The sequence below is a fragment of the Homo sapiens genome, chromosome 9 (genome assembly GCF_000001405.40).
Source record: "Homo sapiens chromosome 9, GRCh38.p14 Primary Assembly".
Taxonomy (NCBI): Eukaryota; Metazoa; Chordata; class Mammalia; order Primates; family Hominidae; genus Homo; species Homo sapiens.
In genome coordinates this window covers 128,394,317-128,413,429 of record NC_000009.12, presented here as the reverse complement: position 1 = coordinate 128,413,429, position 19,113 = coordinate 128,394,317, and the positions used below count along the sequence as shown (strand labels likewise).

The following is a 19,113-nucleotide window of genomic DNA, read 5'->3' as shown; positions in this document are numbered from 1 at the left end:
GAGTAGTTGGGATTACAGGCGCTCGCCACCATGCCCGGCTAATTTTTGTATTTTTACTAGAGACAGGGTTTCACCATCTTGGCCAGGCTGGTCTTGAACTTCTGACCTCGTGATCCACCCACCTCGGCCTCCCAAAGTGCAGGGATTACAGACATGTAATCCCTACTAAAAATACAAAAATTAGCTGGACATGATGGCACGTGCCTCTAATCCCAGCTACCTGGGAGGCTGAGGCAGGAGAATTTCTTGGACTGGGAACCAGCAGGCGGAGGTTGCAGTGAGCCAAGATCGCACCACTGCACTCCAGCCTGGGCTACAGAGCAAGACTCCATCAAAAAAAAAAAAAAAAAAAAGCCCGGGTGCGGTGGCTCACGCCTGTAATTCCAGCACTTTGGGATGCTGGGGCGGGTGGATCACCTGAGGTTGGGACCAGCCTGGCCAACATGGAGAAACTCTGTCTCTACTAAAAAATACAAAATTAGCCGGGCGTGATGGCGGGTGTCTGTAATCCCAGCTACTCGGGAGGCTGAGGCAGGAGAATCGCTTGAACCTGGGAGACAGAGGTTGCTGTATGCCGAGATCTCGCCATTGCACTCCAGCCTGGGCAACAAGAGCAAAATTCCGTCTCAAAAAAAAAAAAAAAAAAAAAAGTGCTGTCCTGTGGAGCCTAAGACCTCATTAGCTGGGTCATGCCTGGAAAAAAATGATTGCTCGGACCCATCTGGCTGAGCACGATCCGGATCCTATGGGGTTGACACCTGGTGGGGCTGCCGGTTTCTGCCTGCAGCATCCTCACCCACTTCAGCCATTGTAGTTCTGACCAAATCCAGGTGATGGCGCCAGCGCCTCAGGCTTGACTCTGGCTTCCTGGAGTAGAGACCCTGCAAGAACCGTCCCCCTCCCCAGCGCCTTCGTCCCGCTGGGAGCCTCAGTTCCAAGGCCTGCCTGCCCCTGGCAAAGACTTTGTAGCATGGCTCCACCAGGGAGAGGGGAGCTGAGGCTGGCAGACTCAAACTGGGGGCCAACCCCTACTCCTAGATGTTAGGGAGGTGGGCTACAAGAGCCCCTTTGGGTCAAAGAGAAACTAGGGGTATCAGGCCACTGGGAGTTGGGGGTCAGGAACCCGGGTAGGCTGCTCTGGTCCAGTGGACTCTGGCCACACCCCCATTAACCCTCTGCGTACCCTGCCCCACCTCATTTGAGGTCCCAGGAGCTGCTTCCTTGCCAATGGGTAGGGGCAGCCTGGGGGTGCCCCAGGGCCCAGGTAGGGCCCCCGGATTGGGAGTCCTCATGGCCTGGCAGTCAAACAGGCTTGAAATGGGGACCCAAAGCAGAGAGGATGCTTGCATGCTCTTACCAGCTGCCAGCTTCACGTCTCCTGAGTTGGGGGATCTCTGGTCCCCTGTCCTGCTTTGTGGCCAAGGGAGCCCAGGATCCTGGCCAGAGGATGGGCCCGCACCCCACTCCTGGTTCTGGGTGCAGTTCGGCAGATGGGAATCCAGGAGCTCAGCTTGGACACCCTCCCCACCTCCGGCTCCAAGCCCGGTTCCAAGAGGACCCAGGGCTGAGCAGAGGCTTGTCCCCAATATCCTCCCCTGCCCCTCATCTTTCCTATTTGAGGGAAGACTGACACCCTCAAAGCCCAGCTGGAGGCATCTCTGCCCATTCTGCTTAGACTTAGCGCACCCTGGTCTCTGCTCGAGGAATCTGCCCTCAGCTCCCCCCATTCTGGGGGTCCACCCAACACCCACACACACTTCCACGGACCACCCTCTCTCTCCCTTTTGGCCATGCCCTCCTCTCCCAGGATCCCAGATGTGCAGCTGTCCTCCTCTGAGGCTCTGCCTCTGTTCTCAGGAGGCTGGGACCAGGCCAGCTGTTTTCTCTGGGCAGCCAGCTGTTTTGCCCATCAGGAAGCAGTCCTGGCTCCTCCGCTAAAATCGTTGCTGTGGCTGCAGCGTGGCAGCCCTGTTGAGCCAGGTCCTGGGAGCTGTTAACTCCTCTGGGCCCAGGCAGCCCCTTCCCTCTCTCAGCCCTGATACCTTCTGCTTCCCCCTGACCCACAGAACTAGCCCATCTCGGGACTTCTAGGGACCCCAAGAAGACCAAGTTTTGCTATCCCCACCCCCCTCAACAACTCCTAACCCCCGCCCCACTCCACAGAGCCTTGTCCTCAGGTGAACCCAGCAGGAGGCTCAAAGGGATAAATGTTAACCTTATTCAGAATAATAATCATAGCTATCATTAACCGTTTGCTGTGTACCAGGCATCTGCTAAGTGCTTTTTTTTGCGGTGGGCGATGGAGTCTCACTGTGTCGCCCAGGCTGGAGTGCAATGGCTCGATCTCAGCTCACTGCAGCCTCTGCCTCCTGGGTTCAAGCGATTCTCCTGCCTCAGCCTCCCAAGTATCTGGGATTACCCGCCACCATGCCCAGTTGATTTTTGTATTTTTAGTAGAGATGGGGTTTCACCATGTTGGTCAGGCTGGTCTCCAATTCCTGACCTCAGGTGATCCACCTGCCTTGGCCTCCCAAAGTGCTCAGATTACAGGCATGAGCCACCGTGCCCAGCCTGCTAAGTGCTTTAAATGTATTATATAACTTGATTTTCACGACAACCCTGTGAAGTCAGGAAATCTTTTTTTTTTAATTTTTTTTTGAGATGGATTCTTGCTCTGCCGCCTAGGCTAGAGTGCAGTGGTACTATCTTAACTCAGTGCAACCTCTACCTCCCTGGTTCAAGCAATTCTCCTGCCTCAGTTTCCCAAGTAGCTGGGATGACAGGCACGTGCCACCAGGCCCAGCTAATTTTTGTATTTTTAGTAGAGATGAGGTTTCACCATGTTGACCAGGCTGGTTTTGAACTCCTGACCTCAAGTGATCTGCCCGCCTTGGCCTCCCAAAATGCTGGGATTATAGGTGTGAGCCACCATGCCTGGCCAGTTGGGAATATTTTTATTTTACAGAAGAGGAAACCTTGAAACTGAGGCACGGAGAATCTAAATAAATCACTTGCCAAGCTCATCCAGAGTTGGGGTTTGGGGTTTGAAACCAAGTCTGCCTGTCTCACTCTGGCCAGCCCTGGTGACTCTGGAACTGCTGTTGGTGTTACTGTTTAAGTTCCCTGGAGCTTTTTGCCCCAGGCTTTCTCTCCCTGTCCTCAGTCGCCCCACCTGTGGAATGGGGACACTCTATGCATGGAGTAAACACCACCAGTTCTGAGTCTGGAGCTGTGTCAGGTTCTGTGCTCGATTCTTTCCAAGTATTTATTAGCGAATTACTCCTCCTGGTGGCTACGGTCGGCCTGGGCTAGAATCCCAGCTCTGCTGCCTCCAGACTGCCTGGCTTTGGGCAAGTGACTGGACCTCTCAAGAGTCTAGCAGTCTCCAAAGCTGCAAAATGGAGACAGGAAAAACGCCTCTGCATCTTTGATTTTGTTATGGAAAGGATGAGATGACGCAGATGAAGTGATTAGCCCAGGACCTGACCCAGAGGTAGTGGGTGGGAAATGCTGCCTGTTACTCTTCTATTTAACCACAATGGTCAAGGGCAGGATCCAAGTGGCCCATGCACCACCGCGTGCCCCCATGCTCAGCTCAGAGCTGGTACGTAGGAGGGCTCCATCATTACCTGTGAATGAACCTGGTCCGTGGTCCCCACATGGGGAAAGCAGGCTGGGAGAGGGCCACACCTGTCCAAGATCACACAGTTACCGGGTGGAGCTGGATTCAGCCCCGTCCGTGAGTCTGCCAAGGTCCCCTGCTCTGACTCCTGTACCCCTAGGGCCTTCTCTCTCGAGGCCAGAACCTGGAGTAGGGAGGGGACAGGGGAACAGGGACAATCTCAGGGCTAAGACAACCCAGAAGGTGACTTGGCTGTGGCTGGGTGGGATCTCAGGGTCTGGGAACGACCCCTCAGGATGCAGTGACCCGTGCTCTCCCTTTTTGTCCTCTCCCCCCTGCCCACCATGGGTCAGTTCCCTGGTCCCAGCCTAGACATCTGGAACTGGGGCAGACAAAGGGCTGCGGGAAGGGACAATAACCTTCTGTCCATTTTCAGATGTCGGGCCGCGCCTGGCCAGGGCTGGGGGCCGGAGCCCCGGCGAGGCGGTGCCAGGCCCCCCGCGGGCAGCGGACAATGTTGGCAGTGATGGAGAGGAGGCATTTCAAAGCGTTTTGTTCCCGCTGACCCCCTCCCCCCAACATCTCGCCCCAGCTCGGGGCGAGGCCCCATCCCCACCCCCAGCCACCCAGGCCTCTGCTCTGGGCGGCTTGGGGACCAGCCACATTCTTGACCTCAGGGGAAAAGTTTAGACTCTTTGCGCCCTGGGCAACAATAACAGTGTCACAGAACTGATTTAGGAGCAGCACTTACCATCACAAAGCAGCAGACAAAGAGCCGGGCTGAGAACGCGCCGGGCCGCTGCGACTACTCCACCAACCGCGGCTCACTTCTCTCCAGGCTCTGCCAGGCAGGACTGGGTGCCAGGCCCCACACCCTAGGCACACCAGGGGAGGACTTGAGGTGGGCAGTCATCAAGAAGAGACAGGGGAAACCAACCGGGAATGTGGAGGACTGAGAGCTAGTTCCTGCTCCACCACCAATTTGCTACGTGACCCTGAGCAAGTCCTTCCCCACTGTGGGCCTCAGTTTCCCTATCTGTAGTAAGAAGGCTAAACTATAAGGCCAAAAGCACGAGGCTCTGATCTTGCAGGTAGAAGAGTTTCAATGAGGATGATGACAGTGGTGATGGTGGTGCTGCCAAGCCCCCCTCCTCCAACTCCTTTACCCCTAGGGCCTTCTTTCTTGAGGCCAGAACCCGGACTAGGGAGGGGACAGGGGAACAGGGACAATCCCATGGCTAAGTAAGACAACCCAGAAGGTGACTTGGCTGTGGCTGGGTGGGATCTCAGGGTCTGGGAACGACCCCTCAGGATGCAGTGAGAAGTATTTGCCACTTGGTCCTGTGCACTTCAGAGGTGCCAGGCACTGTGCTCACTAAGCCCTTTCAGACCTTCATACCCTTTTATCATGTAAACTTTTTCAGACTCACAAAGCAGATGTATAATTAGCTCCACTTTACACTTGATAAGCTAAGGCTCAGAGAAGTTCAGTCATTTGTCCAACGCCACACAGCCTGGAGGTTGTGGAGCCAATACTCAAGGCGGAGCCGCTTCCTTCCTGAAATTATACTCCAGTGGGAAGGAGAGAGGAACAACGAGGCAGCTGGACATGGTGAGTTCTGGCTGGGAGGGTCTTCCCTCCCTGCCAGAAGGCTATGAATAAAGAAATGTCTGCTTATCCCCAGGGGAAATTCCATCCTTGGAGCAGGTGCCTTTATTTATTTATTTATTTATTTATTTATTTATTTATTTTTTGAGACAGAATCTCGCTCTGTCACCCAGGCTGGAGTGCAGTGGCGCGAACTTGGCTCACTGCAACCTCCACCTCCCGGGTTCAAGCGATTCTCCTGCCTCAGCCTCCCGAGTAGCTGGGACTACAGGCACCCGCCACTACGCCTGGCTAATTTTTGTATTTTTAGTAGAGATGGAGTTTCACCATATTGGCCAGGCTGGTCTCTCAACTCCTGACCTTGTGATCAGCCCTCCTTGGCCTCCCAAAGTGCTGGGATTACAGGCGTGAACCACTGTGCCCAGCTGCAGTTGCCTTTAAAAACGAGGTTGGACAAGCACTTTGGGAGGCTCCCGCCTGTAATCCCAGCACTTTGGGAGGCTGAGGCAGGTGGATCACTTAAGCCCAGGAGCTCAAGACCAGCCTGGGCAACATGGCAAAACTCCATCTCTACAAAAAATACAAAAATCAGCCAAGCATGGTGGCCATTCACTCCAGCCTGGGCGACAGGGTGAGACTGTGTCTCAAAAAATAAAAATAAAGTTTATTTAAAAAAAAGCTTGATTGATTTTTATCTGTGAACAGAGGTGGGCCTGGGTAGACATCCAGATGCAGGGGATTGAATGCAATGACCTCCAGCGGAGGCCTCCTAGGAATCAGAGGCACTATGGAAGAACGTTTAAGGGATTGGGCTCTGCAGCCAAGCTATGGGCTTGAATCCCAGCTCTTTTTCTCGCAGTGTGTCCACAGATGAGTCACTTCAATGCTCCGTGTCTCAGTTTTCCAATCTGTAAAACTGACTCCACACTGCAGGAATGTGGTGACCACCATTCAGCAAGGTACGTGGACGACCTCAGAACAGAGCCTGACCCAGTGAGGAATGCCTGTTTCTACTCGGCAGGGTCCCCCCAGCCAGGTCCCACCTCAAAGCAGGAACCACTGGGGTGCTGTGGTATGCAGTCAGCTGTTGACCTTGCTTTTTGGGAAGTGGTTGGGCTTTAAAGACAACATGAGGGACTATGGTTAGACACCAAGAACAAAGACGCCATTCTCTGGGGGATGTAAGGCAAAAGCCAACCACGGCTTCCCAGGGATAGTCAGAGGAGATTGTGGCGCTCTGAGGCCCAGGCAGGGGCTGCTCCTGCTACTAGGCTGGGCCCTGGGCATGGTGCCTGGAGAGACAACAGAAAGGAAAGGCCTGGAGGTGCTAGGCAGAGTCGGCTCCCTCCACCCCTCAGCCTCTTAAATTCAGGGGGAAACTGCATGTGGAGAGGGAAAGAGAGAGGTGGTCAAAGATGGCTTCCATAACACAAACAGCCTGCGGTGTGATGAGGGGGCCTGGTGGGTTTGAGTACCAGCAGTTTGCTGTGTCACCCGGGATGAACTGCTAACTCTCTCTGAGCTCATTCCAAAGGTCTTTTAGAATCCAAAGTGTTAAAAGGAAACCATTACAGCAGCCTCTGTGATTTCACAAATCTAATCAGAAAGTTGGCTAGGCTGGGTGCGGTAGCTCAGGCCTGTAATCACAGCATTTAGGGAGGCTGAGGTGGGAGGATTGCTTGAGCCCAGGAGTTCAAGACCAGCCTGGGCAACATAGTGAGACCTTATCTTTTTTTTTTTTTTTTTAATATAAAGATATATTCCATGCAAGAGAGACCTCATCTTTTAAAACAGAAATTTAAAAATCATACAAATAAAAATAAAACACAAAAACCTGGCTGGGAATCCAGGAGTCCTATACCCTAGACTCCAGCCCCTCCTACCTCCTCACATTCCCAGCCCTCTCCTCCAGCTTCTCTAACCATCCCTTCAGCTCCCCTCACCAAACCATCAGTGACACACGAGTCCCAGACAGAGGGTGAGACAGTCACAACAGAAAAGGCCACAGAACCATGAGGACTCACGGAGATTGTGGGGGTCTTGGGGAGCCCCGACATGGACAACCTCTCCCTCCCTCACTGCCTGGCTGTGGGGCCAGAGGAGCACTCACCCGGGCAGAGCCTCTTGGGGGTACTCCTCAGCCCAGGAGGTGGATGGCACTGCTGGGGCGTCTCTGGCATAAGGTGACTCCCACCCAGCTCCTGCTGCTGAGAAGGACTGGTCAGGCGGGGCCCTCAGGTGCCAGACCGCCCTTCCCGGGCACAGATTTTCCTGGCATCTGCTGGGCAGGAAGGGCACTGGCTGGGGGTTGGGCAGAGGAGCAGGGAAAGATTTGAGCAAAGACGTCTCCCAGAGGGCTTCCCCCTAAACCTTCACCCCACTCTCCTTCTGGACACTGTAGGCCAAAGGTCCAGGAAGACAGGGAGCCTCAGGAGTGGGGAGAGGTCTGATCAAGGAGGCTGAGAGGAGCCCAGGCCCCTGCCCCCCGACCGCTCCCATCCACTGCCAGCAGGGCCCACACGGAGGTGTTTGCTTTTCCTGCCTCTACACTGACTCCATTCAGAGCAGCCGATCCCCACCCCCGGCCAACGACCAGAAAGTCAGGGCACCAGGGAGTGAGATCACGGCCCCCACCTCCCCCTCCACAACCCTTCCTGCCCTCTTCACTGCAGGAGATACCTCAGCCACAAGGGCTTCCTAGTTTCATGGACGACTGGGGCGTGGGGGGCTGGCAGGAGGAGAGAAAGAGGGAAACCAAGTCGAGAAGAGGGTGGTGGGAAGTATCTGAGGAGAGGGACGCAAAGGGACACGGACGATAGGGCTCCTGATGGAGGCGGCCCAGGCAGAGATGGGGCAGGGACAGGATGGGGGAGCCACAGAGCAGAGGACTGTCTAGGAGGCAGGCAGGGCCGTCACTAACCAGTCCAGGGCCTCACAGCCTGGCTCTGCACCGGTCACGGCCAGCAGGGCCCGGAGTGGACACTGAGGATGGGAGCTCCTGGCGCCCACCTGGAAACCAGCCTCCTTCTCATCCCCGGAACAAGGGCCCAGGCAGAGCTGTGACCTGGTCTGTGGCCAGGGGAAGGAGGAGGGTGAAAAGTTTCCCCAAGTCAGAAGGCCATGGGGGAGGCATCTCAGGGGGTCCTGCTCTTTGCTGTCTCTGACTGTCACATTGGTACATAAAGGGGGTAGAAAGGTCAGATGCGGCCTTTCAGGCCCGTGGGAAAAACTCAGCCCATTTCCCTAATCCATATTTATTGGTGTGAGACACTGGGGTGGGAGGAAGCCCGCTGCCCCCACCCGCCGCCCCAGCCAGGCCAGGTTAGCACTAAGAACAGGCTCCATGTCACCCAAATCCTACTCTTTGTCTCCAGATTGGCTCCAGAATCCTCCCCCATCCCTCCTCCCCTTGGTCCCCCCCACCCAACCCCCCTCGGGGTTGCCAAGCAACCATGGAAGGGTAGCTGAGATATTTTCTTTATTACAAGCAAAAGCAAGACAGCATCATGGCCCCAGGAGGGGAGCAGGGTGGGGGCTGGGGGAGAGGGTGTCCTGTGCTCTGGGGGGACTCAGCCACCTCCACTTGTTCTGAGCGTGAGCAGTGGGGAGACAGGGCCCCAGAGCCCAAGAGAAGGAGGGAGATGGAAGAGAGTGTTGGTGAAGGGGTGGGTGGAGTGTGCAGACACTGGTCCACTCTACACAATGCTAAAAGATGGGGTGGTGCCATGAGACCCAGGCCTGAGTCTCTCACCTGCCACCCACCAGCTGTGCCATCTGCACCCAAGTCACTTCCCTTCTCTGGGCCTGTTTCCTCCTTGATAAAATGGGAATAATAATATGTATTATCTCATTTAATCCTCACAAAAGACCCAGGAGATGTTTATTTTTCCTATTTTATTGGTTAAGGAAGCTGAGGTTGGGAGGTATGAAGTCATGTGCCAAGCAGGTAAGTGGCAGAGGTGGGATTCCTGAGCCCCATCCCTCTCTTTTTATCTTTTTTTTTTTTTTTTTGAGATGGAGTCTTGCTCTGTCACCCAGGCTGGAGTGCAGTGGCAGAGTGGCGGGATCTTGGCTCATTGCAACCTCCGCCTCCCGGGTTCACGCCATTCTCCTGCCTCAGCCTCCGGAGTAGCTGGGACTACAGGTGCCCACCACCATGCCCAGCTAATTGTTTGTATTTTTAGTAGAGATGGGATTTCACCGTGTTAGCCAGGATGGTGTCGATCTCCTGACCTCATGATCCACCCGCTTCGGCCAGTGCTGGGATTACAGGTGTGAGCCGCTTCGGCCAGTGCTAGGATTACAGGTGTGAGCCACTGTGCCCGGCCTCTTTTTTTTTCATAACAGCATTGTTGAGATGTAATTCACATGCCATGCAATTTGCCTACTTAAAGTGTATCATTCAACAGCTTTTAGTATATTCAAGAATTGTGCAACCATCACAACAAGCCATTTTATATTTTCATTATTTTGAAAAGAAAGCCCATACTCAGGCTGGGCGTGGTGGCTCACACCTGTAATCCCAGCACTTTGGGAGGTCAAGGTGGGCTGATCACCTGAGGTCAAGAGTTCAAGATCAGCCTGGGCAACATGGTGAAACTACATCTCTACTAGAAAAATACAAAAATTAGCAGGGCGTGGTGGTGGGCACTTGTAATCCCAGCTACTCGGGAGGTTGAGGCAAGGAGAATTGCTTGAACCCAGGAGACGGAGGTTGCAGTGAGCTGAGATCGCACCACTGCACTCCAGCCTGCATGACAGAGTGAGACTCCATCTCAAAAAAAGAAAGAAAGAAAGAAAGCCCATACTCATTAGCCATCATTCCCCATTTCTCCCCAACTGCCCTTCTCCCCAGCCCTAGGCAACCACTAATCTGCTTTCTGTCTCAATAGATTTGCCTATTCTGGATATTTCATGTAAATGGAATTATACAGTATGTCTAAGTCCCAATTATTATTATTTTTTAGACATGGTTTCTCTCTGTCACCCAGGCTGGAGTGCAGTGGCACACTCATGGCTCACTGCAGCCTCAACCTCCTAGACTCAAGTGATCCTTCTGCCTCAGCCTCCCAAGCAGCTGGGACTACAGGCACCCATCACCATGCCCAGCTAATTTTTTTTTTTTGCAGAGATGGGTTCCCACTATGTTGTCCAGGATGGTCTTGAACTCTCGTGAGTCCCAACTCCTTAACTTCCAATGGTTCCTACTTCACTGGGTACTGGGGCAATAGAGTAAGAGGAGTGAGGTGGTGAAGTATTGAAGAATGTGGTCTTTGCAGATACGCAGACTTAGGTCTAAAACAAACCTAGGGCCGGGTGTGGTGGCTCATGCCTGTAATCCCAGCACTTTGGGAGGCTGAGGTGGGCAGATCACCTGAGATCAGGAGTTCAAGACCAGTCTGACCAACATGGAGAAACCTCGTCTCTACTAAAAATACAAAATTAGTTGGGCGTGATGGCACATGGCTGTAATCCCAGCTACTTGGGAGGTTGAGGCAGGAGAATAGCTTGAACCTGGGAGGTGGAGGTTGCAGTGAGCCAAGATCATGCCATTGCACTCCAGCCTGGGCAACAAGAGCGAAACTCCATCTCAAAAAAAAAAAAAAAAAAAACCAAAACTCTAGCTCTTGGCAGGGCGTGGTGGCTCACAACTATAATACCAACACTTTGGGAAGCAGAGGTGGGAAGATCACTTGAGCCTAGGAGTTTAGGACCAGTCTAGGCAACATAGCAAGACCTCATCTCTCTTTTTTATTATTTTTTTTGAGACGGAGTCTCGCTCTGTCGCCCAGGCTAGAGTCCAGTGGTGCGATCTCGGCTCACTACAAGCTCCGCCTCCCAGGTTCATGCCATTCTTCTGCCTCAGCCTCCAGAGTAGCTGGGACTACAGGCGCCCTCCACCACGCCTGGCTAATTTTTTTGTATTTTTAGTAGAGACAGGGTTTCATCGTGTTAGCCAGGAAGGATCTCTCTTTCTTTCTTTTTAGACAGAGTCTCACTCTGATGCCCAGGCTGCAATGCAGTGACGAGATCTACACTCATTGCAACCTCCACTTCCTGGGTTCAAGCAATTCTCCCACCTCAGCCTCCAGAGTAGCTGGGATTACGGGTGCCCACCAACACACCCAGTTATTTTTTTTATTTTTTGGTAGAAACGGGGTTTCACCATGTTGGCCACACTGGTCTTGAACTCCTGAGCTCAAGCAATCCACCTGCCTCGGCCTCCCAAAGTGATGGGATTACAGGCACAAGCCACCGTGCCCGGCCTGGGACCCCATCTCTATTAAAAATAATAATAATTAATTGACACTGGGTGCGGTGGCTCATGCCTGTAATCCCAGCACTTTGAAAGGCTGAGGCGGGTGGATCACCTGAGGTCAGGAGTTCAAGACTAGCCTGACCAACACAGTGAAACCCTGTCTCTACTAAAAATACAAAATTAGCTAGGCGTGGTGGCACATGCCTGTAATCCCAGCTACTTGGGAGGATGAGGCACCCAGGAGGCAGAGGTTGCAGTGAGCCGAGATCACACCACTGCACTCTAGCCTGGGCAACAAGAGCGAAATTCTGTCTCAAAAAAAAAAAAAAAAAGATTAATTGAAATCAATAAAACCTATCTCTGTCATTCAGGAGCTCTGTACCTGGGGGAAGTTGCTTGCTCTCTCTTGGCCTCAGGTTCCTAGTGGGTAAAATGCGGAGAGTGATAGAATTTCTCTGAAGGGCTGTAGTGATGCATGTCAAGCGCTTAGCCCAGTGCTCAGTGCTTAATATATGGTAGTTGTTGCTAACTAGATTACAATGGTCCAGATTACAATGGTCCATGTATCTATTTATTCCTTGACCCAGGTATTTAATAAAACAGCACCTTCCGGCCGGGCGTGGTGGCTCACGCCTGTAATCCCAGCACTTTGGGAGGCCGAGGCGGGTGGATCATGAGGTTAGGAGATCGAGATCATCCTGGCTAACACGGTGAAACCCCATCTCTATTAAAAGTACAAAAAGTTAGCCACGTGTGGTGGTGGGCGCCTGTTGTCCCGGCTACTCGGGAGGCTGAGGCAGGAGAATGGCGTGAACCCAGGAGGCGGAGCTTGCAGTGAGCCGAGATCGCGCCACTGCACTCCAGCCTGGGTGACAGAGTGAGACTCCGTCTCAAAAAAAAGAAAAGGAAAAAAGAAAGAAAAACAAAAATTTAGCACCTTCCAGCCGGGCGCGGTGGCTCACGCCTGTAATCCCAGCACTTTGGGAGGCTGAGGTGGGCGGATCACCTGAGGTCAGGAGTTTGAGACCAGCCTGGCCAACATGGTGAAACCCTGTCACTACTAAAAATACAAAAATTAGACGGGTGTGGTGGCAGGCCACTGTAGTCCCAGCTACTCGGGAGGCTGAGGCAGGATAACTGCTTGAACCCGGGAGGCGGAGGCTGCAGTGAGCCGAGATCGCGCCATTGCACTCCAGCCTGGGTGACAAGAGTGAAACTTCATCTAAAACAAAACAAAACAAAACAAAAAAACTTAGCACCTTCCAAGGGGCAGGCGTTGTTCTAGGTGCTGGGGATTTAGTAATGAACAGGACGTGATCCCTCATACAGCTTCTGTTCTAGTAGGTGACAAACAAGACAGCTGGTAAATATGACACTTTCAGGGAGTGATCCAGTCAAGGAAGACATCAACACAGCACGATGGGCTGAAGCGTGCCGGGCAGGTGCATGTTTTAACCTGGAAGGCTTCCCTGCCCTGCCTTCACTCACTTCATAGAGAGGAACATCTTCTGTAAGCCGAAAAATGCTAGGCAGGGTGGAGGGGTTCTTAGGATCCCCTCTGAGTGGGGACAGGTGGCCTGGCTCTGGCATCTTCTGAGACTGGAGTGAGTCAGGTTGTCAGTTCATTTCTAGAGGTAGGACACCTGGCCAGTCACCATGTAAGAGTGCCGGCCAGTCTTAGAGAATTCTCTTTGTATAAATGGTTCTGGCTACTGAAGCCCAGAGTGGGCAAGGGCCTGGCCTATGGAGGCACACTGAATAGCAATAGGGTTCTTTCCTCTATCCCAGGCTGCCAGGCCAAATCACAGTGAAACCCGGATTGACAGAAACACTTGGGGACAGGAATCTAGGGATGGAAAGATCTGGCACAGAGGTGGAGCCTGTCGCCACAGCTGTTCCCTGGGCATCTGTCTGCATGCTCTGGGTCCTGGACTTGCCTTAAAGTGCAGAACTGAGGCTGCTGCATGACAGAAGCCCCTCCCAGCCCCCTTCAATGAGCCTCACCCACAGCAATATCTCAAGTGCCACACCTAGAACCTCAGCTGATTGGCTGCAAACATCCGTGCACCCACTGTCAATTCCTTATTAATTTCATCTTTCACTCCATTGTCCCAAAGTCTGCTTTTTCATGCATCCGTCTCCATCTACCATTCATTTAATTATTACTTCAATAAAGCATTCATCAATTCATTCATTCATTCATCATTCATTCAACAGATGTTTACTGAGCATGTCCTTTGTGCTGAGCACAATGTTTGGTCAAATCCTTGGTAAAGGCCTGGTGCGGTGGCTCACGCCTGTAATCTCAGTACTTTGGGAGGCCGAGAAGGATCACCTGAGGTCAGGAGTTCGAGACCAGCCTGGCCAGCATGGCAAAACCCTGACTCTACTAAAAATACAAAAATTAGCCAGGCGTGGTGGTGGGCACCTGTAGTCCCAGCTAAGTGGGAGGCTGAGGCAGGGAGAATTGCTTGAACCTGGGAGGTGGAGGTTGCACTGAGCCGAGATTGCGCCACTGCACTTCAGCCTGGGTGACAGAGCAGGACTCCATAACCAAAAAAAAAAAAAAAAAAAAAAAAATCCTTGGTAAAATGCCAGGCCAGGCCAGGCCAGGTGCGATGGCTCATGCCTGTAATCCCAGCACTTTGGGAGGCTGAGGTGGGCGGATCACTTGAGGTCAGGAGTTTGAGGCCAACACAGTGAAACCCCATCTCTACTAAAAATACAAAAATTAGCTGGGCATGGTGGCACACACCTATAGTCCCAGCTACTTGAGAGGCTGAGGCATGAGAATTGCTTGAATCTGGGAGGCAGGGGTTGCAGTGAATGGAGATTGTGCCACTGCACTCCAGACTGCGTGACAGAGTGAGACTCCACTTCAAAAAAAAAAAAAAAAAGCCGGGTGCGGTGGCTCACGCCTGTAATCCCAGCACTTTGGGAGGCTGAGGCGGGTGGATCATGAGGTCAAGAGATTGAGACCATCCTGGTCTCAACCCACCTCTACTAAAAATACAAAATTTAGCTGAGTGTGGTGGCACGTGCCTGTAGTCCCAGCTACTTGGGAGGCTGATGCAGGAGAATTGCTTGAACCCGGGAAGTGGAGGTTGCAGTGAGCCGATATCACGCCACTGCACTCCAGCCTGGATGACAGACCGAGACTCCGTCTCAAAAAAAAAAAAAAAAAAAGCCAGTCCTGGTGGGAAGGAAGGGCTTGCTTAACTGGCAGTGTGGACAACTCTGCCGTCTTCTTTTTTAATTTTTTTTTTTTTGAGACGGAGTCTTGCTCTGTTGCCCAGGCTGGAGTGCAGTGGCGTGACCTCGGCTCACTGCAAGCTCCGTCTCCCGGGTTCACGCCATTCTCCTGTCTCACCCTCCCGAGTAGCTGGGACTACAGGCACTCGCCACCACGCCCGGCTAATTTTTTTGTATTTTTAGTAGAGATGAGGTTTCACCGTGTTAGCCAGGATGGTCTCGATCTCCTGACCTTGTGATCCACCCATCTCGGCCTCCCAAAGTGCTGGGATTACAGGCGTGAGCCACAGCGCCTGGTCTTCTTTTTTAATTTTTTTGTTGAGACAAGGTCTCACTCTGTCACCCAGGCCAGAGTGCACTGGTGGGATCTCAGCTCACTGCAACCTCCGCCTCCTGGGTTCAAACAATTCTGCCTCAGCCTCCTGAGTAGCTGGAATTACAGGCACCTGCCACCACGCTCGACTAATTATAGTATTTTTAGTAGAAACGGGGTTTCACCATGTTGGCCAGGCTGGTCTCAAACTCCTGACCTCAGGTGATCCGCCCGTCTCAGCCTCCCAAACTGCTGGGATTACAGGTGTGAGCCACTGCATCCTGCTGACTCTGCCATCTTCCTGAGAGTTGGTTGTGTGTGTGTGCTGTGTGTGTGTGCGCATGCACACCCGGGGTGTATGGTGGTGATGGTGGAAGCTCATGATGACACATTACTTAACTGCAAGCACATGCAGAGGGTGTTTGGATCCTCCTAACACCCACCCATTTCTAGAGAGGCAGGACAGGCACGATGGATAGGCACAGAGGCTGTCACTAAGATTCAGCCTCCTGGAATCACTTGTCCTGGAAGCCCAAGGCAATGCTGGCTCTTCCTGAAGTCTTCCCACAGCTTCCCTGTTGGAATGAATCTCTGTCTTCTATAATCCCCAGAACCTTGCTAATTCTTCAGCTACCGTGCTTTCCCGGGGCTCTGCTTTCATTAGAGTTGGCTGGGTATTTGTGTCTGTTGGTCCACTTGGATACCGGGTACTTCCGGGGGGCAATGACACTATTTGCCTTTCTCCCTTCCCCTACCTTCAGCGCACACACAGTGCTTTGCAAACATCGGTCCACTAAGCGTTGCTCATGGAGAATCACTCAGATAGACCGTCAAGAACACGGCTCCAGAGCCTGCTCTGCCACCGCTGGCCCTCACCTGGCTCAGTAGCCTAACTGGTCTCTGGTCATCAAACTTGCCCTATCCCCCCATCCCCCCTCCCCCTATTCTCCACACTTCAGTCCCAGCAAACCTTTAAAAATGTAAATCTGAACTTGTCAGACCTTTCAGGATCCCCACCGCGTTTAGGATATAATCGCAAATCCTCCCAATAGCCTAAGAGCCTGGCAAGGTCGACCTCAGCTTTATGTGGAACTTCCCCTTCCTCACTGCGCTCCAGCCACACCAAATTTCCTTCCTTCTCTGAGCTCGCCAAGTACTTCTTTAGAGCACGCTGTTCCCTCCGCCTGGGACAGTGCCCGCCTTCACCTAACTCCCCACTCCTCCTCCCCCAGGATCTGCCTCTGTCCCACACTGTGCGTCTCCTCTGGGGACATCTGTCCTCTGCCGAGTCCTGGGCGAGCACACAGTAGGCATTCCATCAATATCTGTTCAGTGGCTGCAGTTAGCAGCCTTCTTGGCTCCTCATTTCCCTGAGGGTGCGGGTGAGGGCAACTCACTTCTCTGCCCAGTACTGATGGGCTTTAAATACCTCAGTTGGGCATGGTGGAACATTCCTGTCAAATTTCAGCTACTCGGGAGGCTGAGGTGAAAGGATCCCTTGAGCCCAGGATTTCGAGAACCAGCCTGGGCAACATAGGGAGATACCCGTTTCAAAAAAAAAAAAAAATTGGCTGTCTGGCCGGGTGCGGTGGCTCACACCTGTAATCCCAGCACTTTGGGAGGCCGAGACGGGCGGATCATGAGGTCAGGAGATCGAAACCATCCTGGCTAACACGGTGAAACCCCGCCTCTACTAAAAATACAAAAAATTAGCCAGGCGTGGTGGTGGGCGCTTGTAGTCCCAGCTACTCGGGAGGCCGAGGCAGGAGAATGGCATGAACCTGGGAGGGGGAGCTTGCAATGAGCCGAGATCGCGCCACTGCACTCCAGCCTGGGGGACAGAGCGAGATTCCATCTCAAAGAAAAAAAAGAAATTGGCTCTAATGTACCCTGGGGACAGAAAAGCCCTTCTCCTAGAAGGCAGCTAGGACCTAGCTTGGGAGCCCCCAACTCTCTTTTTTTTTTTTTTTGAGACGGAGTCTCGCTCCGTCGCCCAGGCTGGAGTGCAGTGGCACGATCTCGGCTCACTGCAAGCTTCGCCTCCCGGGTTCATGCCATTCTCCTGCCTCGGCCTCCCGAGGAGTAGCTGGGACTACAGGCGCCCACCACCACGCCCGGCTAATTTTTTGTATTTTTAGTAGAGACGGGGTTTCACTGTGTTAGTCAGGATGGTCTCGATCTCCTGACCTCGTGATCCGCCCACCTTGGCCTCCCAAAGTGCTGGGATTACAGGTGTGAACCACTGCACCCGGCCAGCCCCCAACTCTTTTTTAAATTTTTATTTAAAAATCTTTATTTTGGCCAGGTGTGGTGGCTCAGGCCTGTAATCCTGGCACTTTGGGAAGCTGAGGAGGGCGGATCATTTGAGGTCGGGAGTTTGAGACCAGCCTGACCAACATGGTGAAAACCTATCTGTACTAAAATACAAAAATTAGCCAGGCATGGTGGCGGGCACCTGTAATCTCAGCTACTCTGGAGGCTGAGGCAGGAGAATTGCTTGAACGCAGTTGGTGGAGATTGCAGTGAGCCGAGATTGTGCCACTGCACTCCAGCCTGGGCGACAGAGCGAGACTCCCTCTTAAAATAAATAAATAAATAGTTTATTTTTATTTTTGTAGAGATGGGGGTCTCACTTTTTTACCCAGGCTGGTTTTTTTTTTTTTTTTTTTTTTTTTTTTTTGAGACCAAGTCTCTCTGTTGCCCAGGCTGGAGTGCAGTGGCACGATCTAGGCTCACTGCAACCTCCACCTGCCAGGTTAAGTGATTCTCATATCTCAGCCTTCTGTGTAGCTGGGATTACAGGCGCTTGCCGCCACACACGGCTTATCTTTGTGTTTTTAGTAGAGATGGGGTTTTGCCATGTGCCCAGGCTGGTCTTGAACTCCTGGGCTCAAGTGATCCGCCCGCCTCGGCCTCCCAAAGTGCTGAGATTACAGGCATGAGTCACCTCACCTGTCACAGGCTGGTATTTAACTTCAGGCTTCAAGCAATCTTCCTGCCTTGGCCTCCAGCCTCGGCCTCCCAAAGTGTTGGGATTATGGACACCAGCCATGGCACCTGGTAATCAGAGACTATTGTTGCCCAGTCCATCTTGGTTGTGTTCATGCCAGGCTGGGGTGGGCTGGGACTGGATTATAATGTATTAATATAAGGTGACACAGAGTGTCTCCTGGGTCTAGCCGTTTTAAGTGCATTTACATCCATCCCCTCTGTACCCACTAAATAAAGGCTTGGAAACTAGAGTGTGCAGCAAGTCCTAAAGCTCTGGGTTTCTAGATCCCTAGTGGGTGCGGTCTCTGGAGGTTGGGGATTGGGGCTGCATGCCTTCTGTCTTATCCTCCAGCATGGTCTTCTCAGGGAGTGACCCTGTGACCTCCAGAATGCTCCCCCTCCCTCTCCAGCTGGAAGCTCCAGGGAGGAGCCTAAGGAAGGAGGGCTCTGCAGTTTCTTCATCTGTAAAATGGGGCTGATAACAGCACTTACTTTCCAGGGTTGTTGTGAGGAATCAGTGAGCTACTACCTTCAAAGAGCTTAGTGCTTGGCACACAATACACTCTTTGCTGTTATTATTACCAAATGGAGCATTCCCAGGAGTTGGGATCTGGTTAGCAGGACTCCCTCCCTGTAAAACCCGGGCTGCAAGAATTACCTCCCACAAGCAACATTCTTTCAACTTTTATAAGAAACTCCAAGAAGTCTATGTGGCTCATTTTAAAGTCACCGGGCATGCGTGCAACCACCCACAGATATTTAATGATTGGTTGGGGGGAGGGCACTGTACTAGGCCCTGGAGGCACAAAGATCCGTAGGACCCGTTTCCTGTCCTAGGGAGGAGACTCAGACAAACCGATATTCACAATTCAGCCGGGCACGTGGCAAGGCCACCCAGAGATTGTGAGGACAGGAGAGCATTTCAGAGCAAGGCAGCTTGGTGTGCCAGGACAGAGGCAGGGGTATTCTGGGTGCTTGGAGAACTCTGGGGTGAATGGAAGGCAGGCTGTATGGGAAAAATGGCCACACACTCCCACTTTAGGGTGTGAGGTTCATTGGGAAAGACA

General features: G+C 52.7%; 2 annotated features.

The window, feature by feature from the left end:
• Positions 1,469 to 2,088: an enhancer, noted in NCBI's record as "H3K4me1 hESC enhancer chr9:131173621-131174240 (GRCh37/hg19 assembly coordinates)". NCBI's record gives its function as "activates a minimal SCP1, AML or CMV promoter by ChIP-STARR-seq in naive H9 embryonic stem cells {active_cell/tissue: H9 hESC(naive)}" and the evidence as "EXISTENCE:reporter gene assay evidence [ECO:0000049][PMID:30033119]".
• Positions 7,873 to 8,673: an enhancer, noted in NCBI's record as "H3K4me1 hESC enhancer chr9:131167036-131167836 (GRCh37/hg19 assembly coordinates)". NCBI's record gives its function as "activates a minimal SCP1, AML or CMV promoter by ChIP-STARR-seq in naive H9 embryonic stem cells {active_cell/tissue: H9 hESC(naive)}" and the evidence as "EXISTENCE:reporter gene assay evidence [ECO:0000049][PMID:30033119]".